The 23,625-nt window shown below is 48.8% G+C and overlaps 1 protein-coding gene and 1 long non-coding RNA gene across 5 annotated transcripts in view, besides 2 other annotated features; one reads left to right on the forward strand and one right to left on the reverse strand.

Annotated features, from left to right (window-relative positions):
- LOC442028 (uncharacterized) overlaps positions 1-23,625 on the reverse strand; it is a 78,658-nt gene that overhangs the window by 2,552 nt on the left and 52,481 nt on the right. Inside the window, exons 6-9 of the long non-coding RNA NR_037597.1 lie at positions 21,272-21,542; positions 15,623-15,860; positions 10,036-10,202; positions 2,153-2,316 (exon numbers count right to left, since the gene is read on the reverse strand). This is a non-coding gene — a long non-coding RNA (uncharacterized LOC442028). The remainder of the gene's footprint in view (positions 1-2,152; positions 2,317-10,035; positions 10,203-15,622; positions 15,861-21,271; positions 21,543-23,625) is intronic.
- Positions 18-531: an enhancer, noted in NCBI's record as "H3K27ac-H3K4me1 hESC enhancer chr2:95536999-95537512 (GRCh37/hg19 assembly coordinates)". NCBI's record gives its function as "activates a minimal SCP1, AML or CMV promoter by ChIP-STARR-seq in primed H9 embryonic stem cells {active_cell/tissue: H9 hESC(primed)}" and the evidence as "EXISTENCE:reporter gene assay evidence [ECO:0000049][PMID:30033119]".
- On the forward strand, positions 194-5,587 carry TEKT4 (tektin 4). 4 transcript variants are annotated; one of them, NM_001286559.2, is made up of 6 exons: positions 194-841; positions 1,581-2,354; positions 2,729-2,872; positions 3,540-3,762; positions 4,352-4,506; positions 5,317-5,587. In NM_001286559.2, exons 2-6 carry the CDS (start codon positions 2,332-2,334, stop codon positions 5,531-5,533), a joined length of 762 nt encoding a protein of 253 aa, NP_001273488.1. In that variant the 5' UTR covers positions 194-841; positions 1,581-2,331; the 3' UTR covers positions 5,534-5,587. The 4 variants fall into 4 exon arrangements, with proteins under 4 accessions (NP_001273488.1, XP_011508972.1, NP_653306.1 ...); XM_011510670.3 differs by having other exon boundaries at positions 2,284-2,354; positions 4,229-4,506; NM_144705.4 differs by having other exon boundaries at positions 2,284-2,354.
- Positions 2,432-3,293: an enhancer, noted in NCBI's record as "H3K27ac-H3K4me1 hESC enhancer chr2:95539413-95540274 (GRCh37/hg19 assembly coordinates)". NCBI's record gives its function as "activates a minimal SCP1, AML or CMV promoter by ChIP-STARR-seq in naive H9 embryonic stem cells {active_cell/tissue: H9 hESC(naive)}" and the evidence as "EXISTENCE:reporter gene assay evidence [ECO:0000049][PMID:30033119]".

A 23,625-nucleotide genomic window follows, 5' to 3' on the forward strand; every position in this document is an offset into this window, starting at 1 on the left:
GGAGACGGGCTGGCCCCAGGATCCTCTAAGTGACAGGAACCCTTGGCCACTGTTGATTGCCCCGAGGCGGGGACAGGGATGGTGGGGCTGGGGCTGCCTGGCCCTTTAAGAGGGCAGTTCTGCCCACCACCCTGAATGCCCCTCCCCTAGCTACTGGAGAAGAGATCCCGTTTCTTGGCAACAGGAAGCTCTTGGTTTACACAGTGTCACCCAAGCGACTGGGAGCCGCGTCCTGCTCTGGGACTGAGCCGTTGGAGCTGCCCCGCTGACCGCACTAGGCTGACCGCAACCGGCTGACCACACACAGTCCTCACTCCCCTGGCCCTGGTGGGCGGCAGGCACCATGGCGCAGACAGTGCCGCCCTGCGAGCTGCCCTGCAAAGAGTACGACGTGGCCCGTAACACGGGCGCCTACACGTCCTCCGGCCTGGCCACCGCCAGCTTCCGCACCTCCAAGTACCTGCTGGAGGAGTGGTTCCAGAACTGCTATGCTCGCTACCACCAGGCCTTCGCCGACCGCGACCAGTCGGAGCGGCAGCGGCACGAGAGCCAGCAGCTGGCCACAGAGACCCAGGCGCTGGCGCAGCGCACGCAGCAAGACTCCACGCGCACAGTGGGCGAGCGACTGCAGGACACGCACAGCTGGAAGTCGGAGCTGCAGCGTGAGATGGAGGCGCTGGCTGCGGAGACCAACTTGCTCCTGGCCCAGAAGCAACGGCTGGAGCGCGCCCTGGACGCCACAGAGGTGCCCTTCTCCATCACCACTGACAACCTGCAGTGCCGTGAGCGCCGCGAGCACCCCAACCTCGTGCGCGACCATGTGGAAACGGAGCTGCTGAAGGTGCCAGCACCCTTGGGTGGCCGGGATTTGTGGGCGCAGAGAGGAGGAGCCCCCCCCCCCGCAGTTCATGTGGACAAGCCACGTGGCTGCTGCAAGCACGCGGGAGCCCAGCCCTCTGCACGTGAGACCCCTGAGTCCCGAAATCTGGCCCCTTAGTGACAGGAGGCAGCTTTGCCCCAGAAGACCCCTGACTTCCAAGCAGCTGTTTCTCCTCTCCTCCTCTAATCCCTTTGAGTCCTGGCACAGTCATCCTGACCCTGGGCTCCCTGGGCTAAGCCACAAGGCACCTCCCCAGAGACCCTCCCTCGCTGGGACAGTTGCTCCCAAGGTGGAAACCCAGGTCTGGGCCAGCACTGCAGGTGTGGACAGGTAAGGTGGGGTGGGCTGGGAGCCACTGCTCCCATTCATCCTATACAGAGCCGGGGACACAAAGATCTGCACCCACAGGTCCCCTCTCCTCCATGTCCCCTATAACTTCCCAATCCACCCCAGCTTGTCTGTGGGGCAGCCCCACAGGGTGAGAGAGTAACTCAGTCCTGGCCCAGATGCTGGCTCTGGAGAATTCTCTGACCTCTCAGAGCCTGGGGCCTCCCTGAGAACCACTACAGGCCTGTAGACATTCGTGAAAGATGTGGGGTGGGGGCAGCTGGTCTCCTGCCATACCCCAAGCTCAGGCAAGAACCCTTGAGTCCCTCCCTCCCCTCATGCCTTCCCTCCTCCCTTCTTTACCCTTCTGCAGGCCCTTCCCCCTGCACTCTCTCAGTGCCTCAAGAACTCCTGCAGCTCCCGCAAACTCTCTGCCCGCAACAAGGGCACCTGCCAACTGATGGAGACACTGACAGTGCACGGAGAGGCAAACCCAGGGATAGAGGGGCGCAGGACCCGGGCCCTGGCACACAAGGAAGTACCCAGTGGTTGAGGCAAAGACCCCAATCACAGAGAAAAGGCTTGTTCCTACACACAGCAAATTAAACTGGCCAGGCAATAAGAAGAAACACAGGGTCCTTCTCCTGTTCTTGGTGTGAAGATGGCCTTTCCCAGCACAGAGCCCTGAGGGGCAGCCTGGGCGGGCATCTGGGCCCCCAGAGTTTGGGTCCTCAGGGGCTGTCCAGAGGCCAAGGGCAGGCCAACGTTCCCAGGTGCACTGAGTGAGCAGCAGCGATGACTCCTGAAGCCTGGGGCGTGGGAACTGCCGCTGAGGGACCTTCCCAGCAGCCCACAGAAGGCCCTGGAGGAAAACACCCCACTTACAACGCACCAAGGAGAATGCCCAAAAGCCCAAGATAAACCCAGTGAGAGAGCAGAACTTACACAGTCAGAGCTCAGGCCCGGCATTCAACTCCTTGTGGTTGCTCAGGTGTTGACCAAGGCCTGCAGCAGCTGGGCCTCCTGGGATCCTCACCAGGGACTGGCTCTGGTGCTCAGGGCGTCTCCTCCCTCAGGAAGCCGAGCTCATCCGGAACATTCAGGAGCTGCTGAAGAGAACCATCATGCAAGCAGTGAGCCAGATCCGGTGGGTAGAGGGCTGCCCAAGGGATGATTCCTGACCCTACCCACAGCTGGTCCTGGGGCAAGGCATTGAACGACAGGACCCTGAGACTCAGAGCCAGCAGGGGCTGCCCCAGGTCACAGTGGAGCGCAGGACTGGGTGGGGGAGGTTCCGGCGCAGCCTGAGGTTGAGTGGCCAGAGCCCAGTGCCACATCTGATCTGCAGCCTCCCAGCCTGGGCCGCAGCTCCTGGTCACTGCTGAGCACGAGGGCTGCCCGGGACAGGCCCACCCAGAACTCCCTCCTGAGGCAGGCATTGGGGCCCAGCCTGCAGCACAGAGGGTCCCCAGCAGGGCCCTCCCTGGGCACACATCAAGGCCCTGCCCCACCCCGCCCCAGACTGAACCGGGAGCACAAGGAGACCTGCGAGATGGACTGGTCAGACAAGATGGAGGCCTACAACATCGACGAGACCTGCGGGCGCCACCACAGCCAGAGCACCGAGGTGCAGGCTCATCCGTACTCCACCACCTTCCAAGAGAGGTGGGCCCCAGCTCTGCCCCTGCACTTGCCCTGGCTGTGGTCTCGCCTCCCTCTGCCTGGGGGCCCCAGCGGCGCTGCTTTCACCAGCCTGGCCCGGAGGCCCTCGCCCCCGAGGGCACTTGGGCAACTGTCTGCCCCTGGCATGAGCAAGCGACCAAGACCTCCTCAAATGTCCAGCGCGTGCACAGCCTGGCTGCCGGCAGACAGGACAGAGTAGGGTGGGGTCAGACCCAGGCGCTGGCAGGATTGCGTTTCCGCCCAAGGCCAGCAGAGGGAGCCTGACCACCGCCCACTAGAGGGCGGCAAACTCCTGGGAGCAAAAAGAGGGCGCGGGCGCTGGGTACTAGGGAAGGGGGGCTGCGGGGGCCGGAGGTGCTGCAGAGGGGGCCTCCGGGGCAGCGGTGCTGGGAACGGGGTCGCGGGGGCACGAGGGGACTAAGTGCCCGGGGTGGGTAGGGTGTGGGGGGACTCAGAGAAGTTGTGGCCAGGGGGCACTCGGGGGCAGGGAGCCTGAGGGACTGGGCTTTGTGGGGCAGCATGGGGTGCATCGGAGTCCATGCACGTCCTCCAGGAGCATGGGGCGCGGACAGGGCATGGGGGCGCAGCAGGGCTCCCAGCCTTCGGCAGAGCCTCCCCGACCCTCTCCTGGCTGTCCCCCGCCCCGCAGCGCCTCCACCCCGGAGACCCGGGCCAAGTTCACGCAGGACAATCTGTGCCGTGCCCAGCGCGAGCGCCTGGCCTCGGCCAACCTGCGGGTGCTGGTGGACTGCATCCTTCGCGACACCTCCGAGGACCTGCGGCTCCAGTGCGACGCCGTGAACCTGGCCTTCGGGCGCCGCTGTGAGGAGCTGGAGGACGCGCGGTACAAGCTGCATCACCACCTGCACAAGGTGGGGCACCCTGAACCCCGAAGACGGCCCCCTCTCATCACCTGGCCTGGGCCCTCAACACCTTTCTCCTCTGTCCCATTTATCCCGAGGGACCCCAGAAGCAAGTGTCTCCTCTCCGTAAACCTATGTAAAACCAGGTGACACTGGGTATGATCGACCGGTGTTGCCACCCCTATGACTCAGCAGGAGGAGCTGTGGGGAGGATGGAGGCAGGAGGTGGTCTGGGGAACACTGACCGCCCGGGAGGTCCCCAAGAGTCCTGGCCTGGCAGGCAGGGCTCTGAATCTAGGGTCTCAGCGTGGCCTTTACCACCTCTGAGTCCCCAGTCCTTGAGCAGGATTCAGGTCCTGGTGACCACCAAGGATGGGGGTTCTTGGACCACAGCTAAGGGACAACAGGCTTCCTGACTCTCCAGAGCCCACTGGGGGCCCCGTGCACATTGTTCCCCTCATCCACGCCTCCCCAGGGCCACTGGTCAGGACTGCCCTCTGGACACAGCCCCAAGACCTGGGTAGGACCAGCCTGGTCTCGGCGTTCTATATACCCGGGCATGGGGGCACAGGCCCAAGGAGAACTGTCCTGTCTGCAGACACTGCGGGAAATCACAGATCAGGAACACAACGTGGCGGCACTGAAGCAGGCCATCAAGGACAAAGAGGCACCTCTGCACGTAGCCCAGACCCGGCTGTACCTGCGCTCGCACCGGCCCAACATGGAGCTGTGCCGTGACGCAGCCCAGTTCAGGTGCTGCCTGGGCCTCTGAGGCAGTCCCAGGTGGCCCTGTCCACCTCCTCCCTGTGACTCTCTCCAATAAACACTCCAACACCCCGCACACACATCCCCCGCAGGTGCTGAGAGGGGAGGGAGACTTTGGGGCCACACACAACAAGCAGGCATGCCTTAAACACACAGACATACACATGACACTGGGCAGGTCATGGGTCGGGGGGCTCCCAGTGCCAGGGACCTGTGCCCACGTGGTCTCACCCCACCCTATGCTACCTCATCTTCCCGGGAGGAAGCTCCTTCAGACAAGGTGAGCTCCAGGAGGCCACAGAGCCAGAGAGGCCAGGCAGGGCCATTCCCTGCTGCCCTGAGCGTGCTGTCCACACCTCTGGTGGGAAGTATGACCTACGCCTGCGCTACAGGCATAGATGTGCCGTCCTTTTGTTTCCCTTGATAACGGATGCCCGGTGGCCCCTTCTAAGTACCTTTCTTCTTTCCCTGCCCCTCAGTTCCTTCAAGGAACTGGGGGCCTCCTTCCATCAAGTATCAGGAATGGAAAGAACTGAGCCTGGTCGGCTGAGGCCAGTCCTGTCCTGCCAGGGTCGAGATTGCACACGGGTCACTCATTCCCACTCAGGCCCACGCTCCCTGGGAGGACCCTCGTAATTTATGCTCTGCCCTAGAGCTGCTTTCCTGATGGGGTTCTTTCATGGAGTCTTCCCAGGACCTCCTGCCAGCTCCCATTGGGAGTTTTGGGTCCCCTACACCCCGGTAGGTGCATACTTCTGCCCTCCCTAGCCCCGGCTCACACCCCCCCAACACCCCCAGGCTGTTGAGTGAGGTGGAGGAGCTGAACATGTCCCTCACAGCACTGCGAGAGAAGCTTCTAGAAGCGGAGCAGTCCCTGCGCAACCTCGAGGACATCCACATGAGCCTGGAGAAGGACATTGCCGCCATGACCAACAGTCTCTTCATCGACCGCCAGAAGTGCATGGCCCATCGTACTCGCTACCCCACCATCCTGCAGCTGGCTGGCTACCAGTGAGCAGCGGCACGGTGCTTCCCCCCAGTCCCCCAAATAAACAGCGCGTTAGCTTTCTGCACAGTGTGTGTGTGTGCACGGTGGGACCTCGAGTTGCTGTCCATCTGAACTGGCCTTTGGGTCCCCTGTGAGGCTGGCTCTGCCTATGGACTCATCATCCTAACAGTTGGAGATGAGGGGTCAGAGCCAGAACCAGGAATCCCTGTGCCTGAGAGGACAGGAAGTGCCCAGGTGGGGACTGGGGCTCCACAGCACAGCTCAGGTGTGGGCGCAGACGGTGTGTCCAGCTCAGAGCCAGGCCATCCAGCTCCTCCCTCCCCACTTCCCCACCAGTGCTGGCTCCTCCATTCCTTCACCAGGGTCTTAGGACCATGGGACATCTTTGGGACCTCTGCATCTCCCCAACTCCTCCCCCTGCACCTCCAGGCCCCCAGCCTCAGCTCACATACTCCTGTGGACAGGGCGCTTACTCTGCTAGAAGCTTGTCTGGCTGCTAGGTGCACCTGCTGGGGTGATCCTCCAGGCAGGCCCCACCCAGAAGCGCCCGCTTCAGCATCCCCTCTCTGTCCCCAATGACAGTGTGTACCTGAGCTCAGCCCAGCCCAGCTCTCAGTGCCCACGACCCCTGAGGCTCAGATGGGCAGATCGGCAGGGGTACATGGAGTTCCCTCCTGGGTGTAGGCCCAGTGTGGGGAGAGGGGCCTGAGAACAGCCCAGAGTGGGCATCCACCTGGAGAGCATGTGGGTGGGGGTCCCATCTCCAACATCCAGGCCCACAGGGCTCTTGTCTCAGCCTGGAGGGGACCAGGAGGTAACAGCCCCTTCCCCCAATCAACCACAAGGACACCCAGCTGGGCAGCTCTGTGAGCTGGGTGGGGTCAGCCAGGTGGAAGTTGCTGCTGGGGGTTGCTGGGAGGAGAGGCATGGGCTGCCTTTCACGTGGGGCTAACTCAGACCTCTCTCCCCGACCTGCTAGGACCCCTCCAGAGGCCACTGCTGAACATGAAAAACACTACTGCTGTTCACTGGGGGAGGTGATAATGTTGACTGCAGGCAGTTGCCTCGGGGAGGAGCCCTCTTGGGAATCTTACTCAGCCTGGATGGGGAGAAATCTGGAAGAGGCTGTGTGTGAGCAGGCAGTGCAGGGAGGGCTTCCTGGAGGAGGGAGCCTGGCTTCCACCGCACAGGCCAAGGCACAGGGGCTGGGACCAGGGAAGGAGGTGTCTGGGCTGGGTCTCTCGCTTTATCTCGCTCTGGTTCACTGCAATAGGCTCATTGCTAACCAGGCCCGTCCCTCCCCAGCTCCAAACCCGACTATCAGGCAGGGAGGATTCTTCTACCCACCTGGCCACTCTCGGAGATGCAGACCCAGACCCTGGAGGGTGGGCCCAAAAGCTTCCAGGACCTTCTCTCCAGTGCAGATTCAGGGGGAAATGTCACTTCCTGTCACCACGGAAGCCGCACTACTACTTGTCGCAAACCACCAGTCACTACAGTAACACCCAAGCCCACTCTTATTCTTTGGGGTGCCATTTAAATTCGCCCTGGATGCTGTTACCATGGGGCTTTGACAGCCAGGAGCAGAGGCAGTGGGACACAGCAGCCAAGCCTCACCTGGGGGCTGCAGACAGTTCGTGTCCTGTCCATGTAGCTCCTCAAAGCTGCTCCAGGACACCAGGCAGGAGCTGAGGCAATGACCTGCCCAGGGAACACCAAAGAACCATCTCCCTGCAATCACCCCCAGCACAGGGAAAACCTGTAGTGAAGCAGATGGTGGTGAACTCAAAGGCCCCTGAGCTGGGGGGAGGTTGTTGGGTGGGGGCTTCACTCCCTGCCACCCTAGACACGATGGCCAGGGAGGGGTCAGGTGTGTGTGGGTGGTGGCTGCAGAGCCCTCCCTGCCTGCTGCAGGGGGATGCAGGTGGTCCAACACCATCCTGGGCCTGGTCAGCCCCGGTGCCAGCCTCAGCACAGTAGCGAGGAGTCCCCCAGGAGAGCCAGGAACCTCCATGGGAGGTGGGTGGGGGCGAGGCCCCCCCATGCTGTGCCCACCCCAGCCTCAGAGGGAGCTGCTGGCACTGTCCCCTCTTGAGCAGCAGCGCTTTTCCCGGACTCTAGGGAAGTAGCCATTAAGAGGCCCAAGAAACAATGGCTCCCTCCATGCAGGCCCCACACTCAGGCTCCCATTATCGCCCAGGCCCAGGTGGCACTGCCCAGCCCTGTCGGGTCCTCATCAGGCTCAGGACCTCCTTGTCCCACCCTGGAGGGGGTGGCTGATGGAGAGCTGAGTGTGGGGGGTGCCAGGGGAGGGGGCCTGGGAGAAGTGTTTCATCTCTGATGCCAGATGGTGGCACCAGGCTAGGAGGCACCGAGCTAGGTGCCATCCTGAGCACATGGCAGGTTTTAACTCCTTCAGGCCTCATGACAGCCTCACTATCACATGCATTTTACAGCAGGGAAAACTGAGGCCTGAGGGTCCCTGCGCCCACTGTGCTCCCACCCCAGTAACAGGTTGATGCAGGGGAGGCTAATGACAGCAGTGATGTACGTCACTCCCAGCTAGAGAGAGGCCAACGCCCCTGGCCTGTAAGCTTCATGACTCAGTGCAGAGCCAGCACCTGGGGCTGCTGGGCCAGAACTCTGAGGGCCGTCTCCTCATGCTGAATTCCCTACTGACTTCCAGATTGTCCAACCCCAACCCCTGAGGCCATCTGGACAGTGGCAGCTGCTGCTAACCCACAGGCCCCTCTGTGGAGTCCCTATCGGCCTGGCCTTGAGCTGCTACCCATGGTGGAGAGCAGGTGTGGCTTGCTCCAGCCAGGAAGCCTCTGGGCTCCTGGGGATTGGGAGAGTGGCCGGGGGTGATTCAGACCTCCAAAGTGGGCAGGAAGGTGGATGGCCCACACTGGGCTGTTCTCAGGCCCCTCTCCCCACACTGGGCCCACAGCCCAGCCACCCTGGGCTTCTAGCACAAGGATAAAGGAGGCTCCAGCAGCTCTTGCCTGGAAAAGACTGTGGTACCTCCTGTCCCCGACAGTTCAGGGAGGGAGGGGTTGCTGGGGGCTGCTGGCCCGTGGCTGTTACTGACCGGGTCAGGGTGGGAATGGAGAGGTCCAGGCCCTGACATCTGCGGGGTGCAGGTGGGATGTGCCCCAGCTGCAGCATGGCCCTCTCCCAACCCCAGCCTGTCCTGACCCTCAGTGACCCACACCCTAGAGTCAGAGCTGTGTTCTGTCCTCTGCGGAATCCAGTGGAGCCTGGACACAGCTGCCCCCCTCCGTGTTGGGGTCACCCTCGGCTGTCCCACGTCGGGGTTCCCTCATCTGCCCCCTTGTGCAGTGGTTCCTAGAGATCACTCTCACAAGCATCACATGCATGGCTCAAGGTCAGCACCAGTGCCCCTGGTGCAGTGCCCGCTGTCCAGCCCACACCGGCCACCCTGGGGGGCGCAGTGGAGCCTGCGGTAACAGGAGCCTCGCTCCTTCAGGCCCCACTCCCCTTCCACACAGGCTGGCCGCTGGACTGAGGCTCATGGGCTGCCTGCCTTGTGCTAAAAATGGATCCCCAGACTTTCTGGGTTTAATAATACAATCCTGACCTCCCCAGGGCCCTCCCCATTTTGTGGGAGCACCCCAAACATCTTCCACTGGAAAAATAGGCCACATAAGCCCAGGCATCCAGGAGCCCAAGGTCTGATGCCCAGGGAGGGAAGGGCTTTCCAAGGCTCTTCCCCCAGTGCCCAGCACCCCTGCCAGCATCCCACAGTACAGTGGGGGAGGTGCTGTTGGGTGTCCATTGGGAGCCAGCCCCAGGGGCACAATGTACAGCAGCACTTTCCTGTCGTCATGGCTACACTGCAGCCATGAGTGACCAGGGCTGTTTCTGTCCAGGAGACACGCTGTCCCGCCCCGTACACTCACCCTCTGCTCTCCCTGCCCACCCTACTCTGGCCTGGCCTGGGGTCCCCGAGCCTCAGTGGCTCAGCCACCAGCCCCGCCAGCTGCCTGCCCAAACGGATGCTCCCCAGGCCACCCAGACCCGAGGGACTGGAGAGAGCTCTTCTCCTGGCCATTCAACCACCCCTCAGCCTCCCTCCACCCTGCCCTGCATTTGGAGAGTCTCTGTGACCCATCCTCCACACAAGGAACTCACAGGAATGCCCCTCTCTTTTCAGGGACAGGTCTGCTGGCATCAGGGAGCATTGAGGGAAGCACATGGAGAGGGGGACTGGGGTCCCCCATGACTGTGCCCCAGCAGCCTCCCCCACTACCTTCCCCAACAGGGGATGCTCCCAGACACTTCTGAGCTGCCATGGGTGCCCATTTCACAGGTAGGGAAACCAAGGCTCAGATCCAGGGAGCTGCATTTATGTGCGCCTCCACCCGTCTTTCTCCACAAGCCCCAGGAGCTCAGGGGCAACAATGGGGACTATGGGGAGCCCGTGCCCTGCCTGCCCCAACCCTGCCACAGGCCCACAGGCTCCCCCTGGGGATGTGGCTGCCCACCTGCGAAGCTGTGTCCTCATCACTCAGGTCTGAGCTGTGCAGAGCTGGTTCCAGTGGCTGCAGGAACCACAGTCGCAGACCTGGAAGAAGCAAGGATCCTCCCCAAGAGTCTGCAGAGGGAGCGCATTTCTGCCCACACCTTGATTTTGGACTTGTGGCCTCCAGAACTGTAAGAGAATAAATTTCTGATGTTGTAAGCCATCACTACAGCAGCCCGCGAACACTAACGTAGCTCAATACGTCCAGGCTCCTCTCTCTGTTTGTTGTTGTTCTAGGTTTTTCTGAGACAGGGTCCGGCTCTGTCCCTCAGGCTGAAGTGCAGTGGCACAATCACAGCTCACTGTAACCTCCATCCCCTGGGCTCAAGCCATCCTCTTGCCTCAGCCTCCCCCCACAGCTGGGACTACAGGCAGTGTTGCCATGGCTGGCCAACTTTTAAATTAGGTAACCCTTCCCAATAACTTTCACGATTAGTTAACATCTTCTACCTTCCTATTTATTTTCCCCTTTTTAATACAAACACATGCCCATTAAATAAGCAAAATAGGAAAAAATTTTAATCACCCAAAGCCCTACCATCTACTTACCAGAGAGACAATAATGGCACAAGGATATACTGCCAAATTACACTAACTTTTAGTAATCCAAAGCAATAGAAAAATCTCCAGTTTTCAATTTATTCTTCTTAGATTTCTAATCAAGAAAACCTATTTTCTATACTAATGCAAATACATACAAAAGGAAAAGACACACTTATGAAGCAAAGGGATGAACTGGAGTCCTAATGTTACGAGAGGCTGGTAGTCATTTATTTGTCATCACTGAGGTATTTTCAGAAAATAGCCATGGTTCCCAGAACTTTAACAAGCACAATGATCCACTCTTAGATACTTGAAAGTCAGATAAGAAGACATCTATCCCTTAACTAGTTGTTATGCACTATATGTGAATAAAACCATATAATTTAAATTTCCTCAATTAATTCTCACAGACAGTACGCAACCTCACATCACCATGATCTTTTACATAAATGTCAATGTTCTATTGTAAATCGTGACAGACTATCTACATAGAATACTCATGATTTACAATTTGAGATTGTCAACCCAGCCAGTAACCTGTGTAGCACTGAATTCAAATACCAGAAAGAGGACCCAGATTCCCTCACCACCTAGCAGAGCTCAAGTGAGCTACACAGCCCGGTAGGAAATGGGGACTAAGTAAAAGGTTGTAAGCAGGTACTACTATAGTCAGATGAGTTTTTGACAGGTTATTCTAAAAGCACTGAGAAAAGAAAACTGTTGTAATATTCCAGATAAGATCACTTGGTCTGTAAAAGGACAGTGTCAAGGATATAGAAAAGAACCATCAAGGAATTTCAGAGGGTAACCTGGATGTGATTATATAGTACCACATCAAATGATCATCAAGCTCAAAGAAGGCACAGGGGAGCAGGAGGCTGCTTTCCCCAGGTACTGTCTTTCCCAGGCTTGCCCAGCAGTCCTGGAAACTGACATACACACACACACACACACACACACACACACACATATACACACACACACATATATATACTTGTTCTTTGCCATCTGATCACACTAGAAATGCCTGAAAATAAACCAGTTCCAGTATTAGTACAAACACTGTGACTAGTGTCCTGAGGACCGCTTTGATTGATCTCATTATCCCTGCTTTCTAATCTAACCTCCATCTCCTGGGCTCAAGCCATCCTCTTGCCTCAGTCTCCCCCCCATAGCTGGGACTACAGGGAGTGTTGCCATGTATTAAATATTAAATCTGAAAATTAAGTGAGAAAAGATTTAAAGAATGGCAAAAAGAGACAGGAAGAGAGATTTTAGGATGTTACTGCTGTGTTGGTAAGAGATAAAAAATAAATGTCTTCCTCCAGCGTGGCAATACCTCAAGGATCTAGAACTAGAAATATTTGACCCAGCCATCCCATTACTGGGTATATACCCAAAGGATTATAAATCATGTTGCTATAAAGACACATGCACACGTATGTTTATTGCAGCTCTATTCACAATAGCAAAGACTTGGAACCAACCCAAATGTCCATCAATGATAGACTGGATTCAGAAAATGTGGCACATATACACCATGGAATACTATGCAGCCATAAAAAAGGATGAGTTCATGTCCTTTGTAGGGACATGGATGAAGCTGGAAACCATCATTCTGAGCAAACTATCGCAAGGACAGAAAACCAAACACCACCATGTTCTCACTCATAGGTGGGAACTGAACAATGAGAACACGTGGACACAGGAAGGGGAACATCACACACCGGGGCCTGTCATGGGGTGGGGGGAGGGGGGAGGGATAGCATTAGGAAATATTCCTAATGTAAATGATGAGTTAATGAGTGCAGCACACCAACATGGCACATGTATACATATGTAACAAACCTGCACATTGTGCCCATGTACCCTAGAACTTAAAGTATAATAAAAATAAAAAATAAAAAAAAAAGTCTTCCTCAAGTTTACCATCAAAAAGTGCTATACATGATTTGCAAGTATTTTCTTCCATCTTGTGGGTTGTCTTTTCAGTTTCTTGATGGTGTCCTTTGAAGTGCAAAAATGTTTAATTTTGATGAAGTCCAATTCATCAATTTTTATTCTTGTTGCTGGTCTCATATTTAAGAAAACTTTGCCAAATCCAAGGTCATGACAACTTACTCCTGTTTGCTTCTCAGGATTTTATAGTTTTAGTCCTTACATTTATGTGGATTCACTCAAAATGGATCCATTTGATCCATTTTTTTTTTTGCATCGTTTTTGTACATGGTGTTGGGTAAAGGTCCTACTCCAGGTTTTGCATATGTTTACATATCTAGTTGTCCCTGGGCCAGTTTTCAAACTTCTTTCCCCACTGAATAATCTTGGCACCCCTGTCAAAAATCAGTTGGTTATATATGTATGGGTTCATATCTGACTGTCAATTCTATCCCACTGGTCTATACATCTACCCTTCTGCCAGTATTATATTGTCCTTATTACCATTGTCTTGTAGTAAGTTATAAAGTCAGTAAGTATGAGTTCTCCTACACTGTTCCTCATTTTCAAAAGATTATTTTGGCTATTCTCAGTCCCTTACAATTCCATATGAATTTGAGAGTCAGCTTGTCGATTTTACAAAGAACTCATCTGGGATTCTGACAGGGATGAAGTTAAATCTGTAGATGAGTTTACGGAGGACTGCCATCTTAAATGTTAAGCCTTCGGTCCATGATCATGGGATACTTTTACATTTATTTAGATCTTCTTTCACTTCTTTCGACAATGTTTTATAGTTTTCAGAGTACAAGTTTTACACTTCTTAAATTTATTAGTAAGTATTTTATTCTTGTTGATGCTATGATAAATGAAGTTGCTTTCTTAATTTCATTTTCTGATTGCTCATTGTGAGTATGTAGTACTCAGTTAAAGTGTGTCAAATACTATTGATTTTTGTATATTGATCTTGTATCCTGCAACCCTGATGAACACAAGGGATTTGTATCTAGAATACATATGGAAGAATTACAATTCAGTAAATAAAAAGACGAAACAACCCAATTAGAGATGGATAATTCAAGAATGGATAAACAAACTGCAATACATGCAAACAAATGGAATATTATTCAGCAATTTGAAAAATAAGCTATCAAGCCATGAAAAAAACACAGAAGAACCCTAAATGTATACTGCTAGGTGAAAGAAGCCAGTCTGAAAAGGATACATACTACATGATCTATTACATGACATTCTGGGAGAGGCAAAATTAGAGAGAGTGAAAAGATCAGTAATGACCGGGGGTAGGAGAAAGAGGAGGAGGAGGAACGAATCAGTGGAGCACAGGAGATTTTTAGGGCAATGAAATTGTTCTACATAATACTGTAATGGTGGGTACATGACATTATACATTTGTCAAATCCAAAAATTTATGAAACACAGAGTGAACCCTAATGTAAACTATGAACTTCAGATATAAGTATCAGTTCATCAAATCTAATAAATGTAGCACAGTAACGCAAGATGTTAAGAGTCGGGAAGACTGGGCGGGGGCATTGTAGGGGAGCATATGTGAACTCTCTGCACTTTTCTATTTTTTCTAAAACTGCTAGGAAAAAAGAGTCTACTATGTTTTTAAAATAAAATGATCCCTAGCAGGAAAAAAAATGGCAAAAGATCTCAACAAATATTTCTCCAAAGAAGATATACACATGGCCAATAAGCATGCAATAAGACACTGGACATTACTGTCACCGTGAAAATACAAATCAAAACCACAGTGAGATACAATTTCACATACATTACAATGGCTACAATTAAAAAGTCACAGTGCTTGTGAAGATGTGGAGAAACTGAAATTTTAATACACCGCTGGAGGGAATAAAAAATAATGCAGCCATTTCAAAAAGTAGTTTGGCAGTTCCTCAATTAGACAGTTATCACGCATCCGAGCAATTCTGCTCCAGATATACACCAAAGAGAAATGTCTACACAAAAACTTGTACACCAATGTTTATAGCAGCATTATTCGTAATGGCCAAAAGGGGTTAGCAATGTCCTAAATGTCCATCAACTGACAAGTGGATAAACAAAATCCAGTGTATCCATGTAACAGACTATCATTCGGCCATAAAAAGTAAGTACTGATACATGTTATAGCATAGACAAATCTTGCAAGCATTATGCCAAGTGAAAGAATCCAGTAACAAAAGCCCGTATGATATATAATCCCATTTATATGAAACACACGCAATAGGGAATCCAGAGACAGAAAGATTGGTGATTTCCAGCGCTACAACTGCGGGGGTGCAGATGAGGGATGTGGAGAGATGGAATTGAAAGCTAAAGGGCACAGGAGGCAGGGTGTTGTGGTCCATGCCTGTACTCGTATAGCTACTAGGGAGGCTGAGGTGGGAGGATCATTTGAGCCCAGGAGTTCAAGGCTGCACTAAGTATGATTACACCACTGTACTCCAGCCTGGGCTGGTTGACTGAGCAAGACCCCATCTCTTAAAAAAATAAATAAATAAAAATAAAATAAGGTAAAGGGCATAGGATTTGATTTGGTTTTTTTTGAGGTGGAGAAACAATTCTAGAATTGATTGGAATGCTGGTTACCAACATCTGTGAATATGCTAAAACCACTGACCTGTATACTTCAAGTGGGTGAATTACATGGTATGTCAATTACCAATAAAGCTGTTTTAGAAATCCTAGTATTTGCTGTGCTGTTACTGTGGCAAAGTACCACATGGCAATAATTGCACAGCCAGCCCTACCATTACAGTATGACACAGGAAAACTTAAAACTGCACTTGCGATCAAGCTAGATGCAGAGCATATTAGCACAGCAAAAAATAAATGACTACACTAAAGACCCATCCTTCAAGGATTACAGAATTTAAATGCTGAAAAGGAGAGTACAACTCCTCTGTTTTTTTAAAAAAGGTAAGAACTCATAACTCAGTCACTTGTAAAATTCTGGATTGCTAAGAGATTTTCAAATAGAATTTAAAAGAAAACACACGACCAAGACAATAATGAAAATCTATAGATAAATTTACTATTACCTTTAGCTTCTGAACATACAGCCAAAAATCCATCTTCTGTCACTGCTTTAAACGAAGGTCTGACTCCTCATGTATCTCTGCCCAGGAACACTTTCTTATTGGCAGAATCCAGTAAAACAAATGCAAACACACCATCCAACACACAAATTGTTTGCTCAATTCCTCCTTTGTCATAAAGACGAAGGATTATCTCACCATCCACTTTGGTCTGGTATTCAAATTCAAAATAGTGTTGCACCTTAGGAAGCAATAGCAAAACCAAAACGTTATAGACTCCTTGTGCATTCACTAATAATTTTTTATTGCAAAGTTGCTTCAGTATTTCTGGAGCTCTAAAATTATTTCATGCACTTTGGTGATTTAGGAGAATCATAGCATTATCCAACTAGGGTTTGCTTCAACTCATAATTCTGCAAATTCTGTTCAACATAAGGCTGAACCCATGAAAGTTTTAGGTGCAGTCTGATAAACAGAATATAATGGGAATGTACCAGAATAGCAACCTGTAGAGGAATGGAAATGCATATTATATACATACTATGTATGTGATACATAAATATTTATGTATACGCAGATTGAGTATCCCTTCTCTGAAATGTTTGGAACCAGAAGTATTTTGGGTTTTGGAATTTTTTTTGGATTTTAGAATATTTGCATCTACGTGAGGTATCTTGGGGATGAGACCCAAGTCTAAACGTGAAGTTCACTTATGTTTCATATATCTTATACACATAGCCTAAAGGTAATTTTATATAATATTTCAAATAATTTTGTACAGGAAACAAAGTTTGTGTACACGGAACCATCAGAAGCAAAGGTGTCACTATCTCAGCTACCATGTGGAAAATCTGTGGCTGTCTGACATCACTGACCACCATTTCTGACTCCGAATTTATATGCTACTGATGAGCAATCATTTTCACACACTTATTCACACAGAAGTAAAAAATATGACATGCCATTAATACAGTAAAAAATAATAAGCAACACAGTAGCATCACCAGAATACCTGCATCAGCTGTTAAACAGCTGTACAAACAATGGCAGGCTTTCAGGCTCCACCTACAAGGTTGTGTTTTGATTAAACGGTTACTGTACATTGTATTTTTTTTCTTTTTTTAGGTGAGAAGAAATATCAGAAGAGCTGAGCAACTAAGGAGGTGAGTCCTCTGAGACTGAGGTGGCATTCTGCCAGATGGCTTTTTATAATGTTTCTCCAGAGTCATCTGCCTCATCATCAACGGCTTTTGTCTTGGAAGTCTCTCTTTAATTTTATAAACTGACGTGACCTCTTGTTCTGTTATGAATGCAGGTAGCTCTAGTCCTTCAATATCTTGAATATCTCTATCACACATTTTCACCATGTCATCCATACCTTTACACTACAGTCCAATTTCTCCAACAGCTTGACTTTCTGTGTTATAAGCGTTTCTACTTTTCCTTATCATTGCTGCTCGTAGGGATATCTACAGGCCTTATTGACATTTTCAGTATGTTAACACCACAGAGCAGAGAATAAGCAAAAATACACAACGGGTAATGCACTTATGTCCCATCTGTGGGGATCCTGCCATTGGCGTGTCCAGCTTGCACATGTGCCATTCTGTGACCCTTTGTGGGCGTGCTTGCATGGGGAAATCTGAGCACGTGTAGACAAGTTATACTGCAGCTGAAGGGGGCTGAGAGGGTCTTTTTTCACTACGGAACGTCAAATAAACTGTGTGTTGTACACCTGCATTTTGACTGGGACATCAAAATCCACACGTAGTGTCATGTCAGTGCTCAAAAAGTTTCAGATTTTGGAGCATTTCAAATTTCAGATTTTCAGATTAGGGATGCTCAACCTCTAAAGTTAAGGTAATAGGTTGCTTGGTTGCCATGACACTAAAAAATGTGTCTTCTGCAACTGTAAACTTTGGGTTTGAGAAGACAGTATTGGCTAAGAAGTTCCTCCAGTTCAGCTTCAAAGACCTAGCTATAAAAATGCAAAGCAAAGGGACAAACATTATTTGGCATCATTCCCTGAAAAATAAATGGCTCCATCACAATAACAGATACATGATCCAAAACAAAGCTGCTTGTCCTCAGGGGTGGATGACAACGCCCAGTGCTTCCACCACTGCAGTAGCATTAAAACTACCCCTCACTGAGAGATAAAATGATGGTGGCGCTTTATTAGTCTGCATGTCCCAAAGGAACAGCAAAGGGACTGTCTGCCACTGCATGCAGAGTAAGAAGGTTTGATTAGGATACTCCCCAATTCTGACACTCTCCACCATCACTGGCAAACTATGAGGATGAAAAGTCCTTGATGTATTACTGTTTGTATGTCATACTCACATTTTTGGCTGACATTAGAGAAAGAAGAGGTTTAAATCAGGTGGAAATCCTAGGTTAAGTTTAAAACATGTTTTCAAATCTCAAAAACTAAACCTATTATGTATGTGCACGACCCATAAATACGCTTCACACTCCATCCGGCTCACTCCATAATTTGTGAACCTTTTGTCTGTAAGCCCTCAATGAACGGTCCAAAAATGGGCTTTGCCTCCAGTGACTATAAAGCCACTACCTGGTCACCACTCTCTGCTCTATCAGGGATGATCTGTAACTAGCAGGTGGGGTCTGGAAACAGTCTTCTGCTGACTGTCCTGGGCTGAACTGCCTGAAGGGTAAGTGACCATAAAGCATGGAAAACTGTCATTAGCTGAAAAAAATAAACTCAGCACCTAGGACAATAGATACATGCCATATACTCCAAAATAGATGACGGGTCTCCAACTTGTTTTCTGCCTCTTAGGAGCTTATAAAACTAAGGTCACAATTAGTGGGGAAGGGAGGAGACAGATGATCTTCACTGCCTTAGTTATAAACTTGCTTTGGTCTATGGTGATCCTGTGTTAAACTGTGAAATAGAATCTATCATCCTGGCTCTCAGAGGCCCTTGACTTCATCCTTTTAGTGCTTTTCTTACTTATTTTCAAACCTTCACGTCTCTCACATTGAAAATCCCAACTCTTAATACCCTCTCTAACAAACTACCCCTTCCCACCAACCACCACCACCTACCTCACTCTATCATCTAAATCTGTTTCGAGATATAAAAATCTTAGTAATTTATATCTTAACACAAATTACATACTACCTCTTCAAAAAGCAAGTTAAGCCTGATTCTAATTGTGGGATGAAAAGCTTTTTCCCTATGAAGAAATTTTAAATATCATCAAGCATGTGGAGAGGTGCTAGCGAGGGCATGGAGCAAGGATCAAATTCCATAGGCGATTGTTTTCTCTATTTTTGTATAAAAATGTCCTTGCCCCAATTACAGCCTCCACCAAGTAAAAAAAAAAAAAAAAAAAATTTGGTGATATTAGCAAGCAAGTTTCCCAACTCTCCCTTGCCCACCTCTTTGGCCTAAACTCTGCAGGTGATTTATTTAAAAAAGAGAAGCGTCCTTTGGGTAACGGATGTATCACTTCCTACTCTCTTAAACCAAACTCCAAAGCTGCATCTTAGATAAAAGCCCTCGAATCTGGCCTCCTGAAGTCATGCTGTCATTTAACTTGGCTCCAGGCCCCCGATACTCCCCTGCAGGGAGAGGGCCTGCTCTTTGCCCCAGCCTGTATCCCATTCCTACTTTCTTTCACTCAGTCCCCCTCCACATCCAGCACACCTCTGGCTATATTTTATTAGTAGTAGTAAACTTTATTTTTTATCAAAAAGGGGTGGGGGTATTTTTGAGCTTATGTTGCAGAATACTTTATATAAGCCTACAATATACATTCTGTTCATTAGATTTATAGCTGCGCCAACTACATAAGCTGAGACGCTTGGTAGAAGCAACAGAACAAACTTCTCTAGTTTTGCAAATATAACATTTGACTAATACTAATTTAGAATGGAAATTAATTATTTTCAAAATATTTAACTTCTTGTAACTTTTTAGCAAAAAAAAAAAAAATACACTACTGTCCGAGTAAAACAGGGCACTTCCTATTTAAGGAGAAAGCCAAGCTGATAATGCCATCATACCGCCTAGCATTCTCATGTATATGACACTGATTTGACTTAGAAAGAAAAAAGTTTTAATACTCTCTTCTACTTCCCACTAGCAGGCAATTCCATTCTTGCCTTTCCTTTTCACCATTTCTTCTACGATCACCTAGAAAAATGATGTCTGGTGCATATTAGGCCCCTAATAAAGGAATAAAGAAATGTGTGAAAGGAATTTCTTGAATAACTATTTCAAAACTTTTTGAGCAAGAAGACTATTATTAAGAGTGTTCCCATGAGCAGGCAACAAACAATGACAAAAGCTATTATTCAGAGATAAAAATGTCCAAAACATAGATAGGATATAAATCTCTATCAGTGCATGACAGGTATCTATCAAAAAGTCTCAAAAAAATACCAAGAAACATCACAACCAAATGCATGAAACTTGAATGAAATCTGGATCAAAACAAACAAAAACCAGCCATAAAGATATTCTTGGTAGCACTTTGAGAGGCCAAGGTGAGCAGACTGCCTGAGCTCAGGAGTTCCAGACCACCCTGGGCCCCCGTCTTTACTAAAATACAAAAAATCAGCCAAGCTTGGTGACAGGTGGGCCTGTAGTCCCAGCTACTCAGGAGGCTGAAGAAGGAGAATCACTTGAACCTGGGAGGCAGAGGTTGCAGTGAGCCAAGATCACAACACTGCACTCCAGCCTGGGTGACAAAGTTGAGACTCTGCCTCAAAAAAAAAAAAAAAAAAAAAAATCCTCCAGACACTTAGGGAAATTTAAGTATAAACTGGATATTAGGTGGTATCGTGGTTTTTTTTGTTTTTTTTTGAGACAGAGTCTTGCTCTGTCTCCCAGGCTGGAGTGCAGTGGCTCAATCTTGGCTCACTGCAAGCTCTACCTCCCGGGTTCATGCCATTCTCCTGCCTCAGCCTCCGGAGCAGCTGGGACTACAGGTGCCCACCACCACACCTGGCTGATTTTTTTATTTTTGTATTTTTAGTGGAGACAGGGTTTCACCGTGTTAGCCAGCATGGTCTCAACCTCCTGACCTCGTGATCTGCCCACCTTGGCCTCCCAAAGTGCTGGGATTACAGGCGTAAGACACCGCGCCTGGCCAGGTGGTATTATGGATTCTTAGGTTTAATAATGGTATTGATGTTATGTAGAAAAATGTCCTTATTCTTAGGAGATAAATGCTTATATATTTAGAAGTGTCACAAAATCTGCACCACACTCTCAAATGATTTGGCAAAAAATGTGTGTGTGTGTGTGTGTGTGTGTGTGTGTAGAAAGAAAAATCAAGCAAATATGGCAAAACATTAATGATTATTCAATCTAGGTGCTCACTATTCTGTTCTTTTCTGTATGTTAGAATTTTTTTCAAAACAAAAAGCTGGGGAGAAGGAGAAAAAATTCTAAGAGTCAAAAAAACTGTGTAATCCCCATTTTTATCACTTTTTTTGTGACCAAGTCATTTCAATCACCATTTTATTGATCAGTTCCCTACCTACATACTTAGAGCAAATGAGATAACACAGAATGCTTTGCAAAATAAAAAGCATGATACAGAATATATAATATCATCGTAACCAACAAGCTCTGAAGTTTAATCGCATCCAGACATCTGGTTTCTTTTTCCTTACCTTCTTATGGTTGTAGATTTCACCATTGTAACAGAGCCACGTGTATGGATATTTCTTCACTTAAATTGGCTGCATTCCAAACAGCGGGTCAACTACCACCAACCGGTGAAATCCAAAGCAGCAGCTAGTGTATCCATTGACATTCTCAAAACAGAATGCATCTGGACCCCGTTTGCAATCTTCATAGCACACAGACACTAAACAGAAAGGCAGTCATTGCTGCCAAACAGGACCCAAATGCCACACATGGTGCAATGAAGCTGTAAGCTCCCTATGGAGAGAAAAGTAGACAAATCAAAAATATTCAATACCCAATCCAAGTCTGCATTAAATCTTGATTCCAAAAATGTGCATAAACCACTTCAAAGACTAAAATTTAAACCATCTTTTCTATAGCGATCTCCCATTAGGTTGACAGGCATACGGGAGTAGAGAATGATTTAATTTACCTACAACTATTCAGAAAAGATAGTGACCTCTACATTCAACCAGCTACAGCAGCTTAGCACCCAGCCAAAGCCTGCATCTCTCCCACCTTAAGATTTAGTGGTTGGCTAGAGTTAGCAGCATCCAGGCCACATCTATCTCTACATTCTAAGTTTGCTTCCAAGATAGAGAGACAAATGCAGGCTGGCTCCAACCTAGCCAGAGATCCCAGCCCCACTCTCTGCATCCCAAAATCGCTCAAAGATCCGAGAGACTTTCCGGATTTCTACAGTCTCCTCTGCGGTTCCCTTGACAGTTAAACGCCCTCTCTTTACCTCAACTAGCTGCAGGTAGAATATAATGGGTACAAAAGAAAATCACTGTAAGTGTAATATGAAGACACACAGCTCTTTTAAGCATTTCATTATATTAAATCTAGCTTACTTCTAAGTGATTTATTCAGATGTGACTGAAGAAAGTCTAAAGGGAAAAAAAGCAATTTAATTTGATAAATTATCAATTATAGCCAAATTATTTGGCTATAACAAATTAAACATTTTAAGTTGACAGAAGACACAAAATGTTTAAACATTTATATTATACAATGTTTATATAAATTAAACATTATAGCCAAATTATTTGGCAATAACAAAATTAAACATTTTAAGTTGACAGAAGATACAAACATTCTAAGTTGACAGAACATATAAAATGTTCACTATCAAAATGTCACAATGTCGCAACTGATAAAAGTGTTCTCAAATATTTCTGTCTCAAACTTGCATTGTTCAGTAAGCAAGCAAAATAGGTGGGACATATACAGCAACAACATCCCTCAAAAAACAACTTGGCTCATTCCTATAAGCCAGGCAGCAAATACATCATCCTTACATATGTTAATTACCTTCCAATTTCAAATTCTCAACTGTGAAATAAAGGGCTATTTTATTTGGCTGCTGCCAACTCAAAATGACTGTTTTTATTAAAACAACTCTAACTTGAAAAATATTTGGTGCTTTCTAAAAAACTGCAAATTGCAGCAAATGGCCAGATAATTTGGGATAAACACCCTACAGAAAAAATATATATTCAAGTTGCATAAGTCACTTTGTGCAATCCTTTGAGGATATTTCATTTATATCTAAATGAACCACAGGTTTAGCTGGCTTTTCCGGAAAACCAGAAGCAAATAATGTATGATTATAATGAAAATCATCTCAAGCAATTTGGAAATGAAATACCACATGTCCTATGCTGTCCCTTCCATACACTTGACAAAACAGCCTATAACAAATTTACTTTGAGATTTAGCAGGAAAATTCCATGAGATTTAAATGAAATGACTACTAATAAGCCATCTGCCTTTGACTCTATACCAATTAAAAACGGGTTAGGAAAGTGCTTTGAAAATCAAGTGTGTTCATCAGGGAATCATTTACCTAAGTCGTCTTAACACTGCTTAGTGAATATTAAGCCTGATATAGTAAATACACGCTAACCACTAAACTGAAGGGGAAAGAGGGAGAACAAAGAGGCATGTAAAGTACACTTGCTTTTTCTAGTAGGAAAAAGCCAATTAGAACTATCATCTAGGGCCGGGCGCGGTGGCTCACGCCTGTAATCCCAGCACTTTGGGAGGCCGAGGCGGGCGGATCACGAGGTCAGGAGATCGAGACCATCCTGGCTAACACGGTGAAACCCCCGTCTCTACTAAAAATACAAAAAATTAGCCGGGCGTGGTAGCGGGTGCCTGTAGTCCCAGCTACTCGGGAGGCTGAGGCAGGAGAATGGCGTGAACCCGGGAGGCGGAGCTTGCAGTGAGCCGAGATCGCGCCACTGCACTCCAGCCTGGGCGACAGAGCGAGACTCCGTCTCAAAAAAAAAAAAAAAAAAAAAAAAAAAAAAAAAAAAAAAAAAAAAAAAAAAAA

The sequence above is a fragment of the Homo sapiens genome, chromosome 2 (assembly GCF_000001405.40).
Source record: "Homo sapiens chromosome 2, GRCh38.p14 Primary Assembly".
Lineage (NCBI taxonomy): Eukaryota > Metazoa > Chordata > Mammalia > Primates > Hominidae > Homo > Homo sapiens.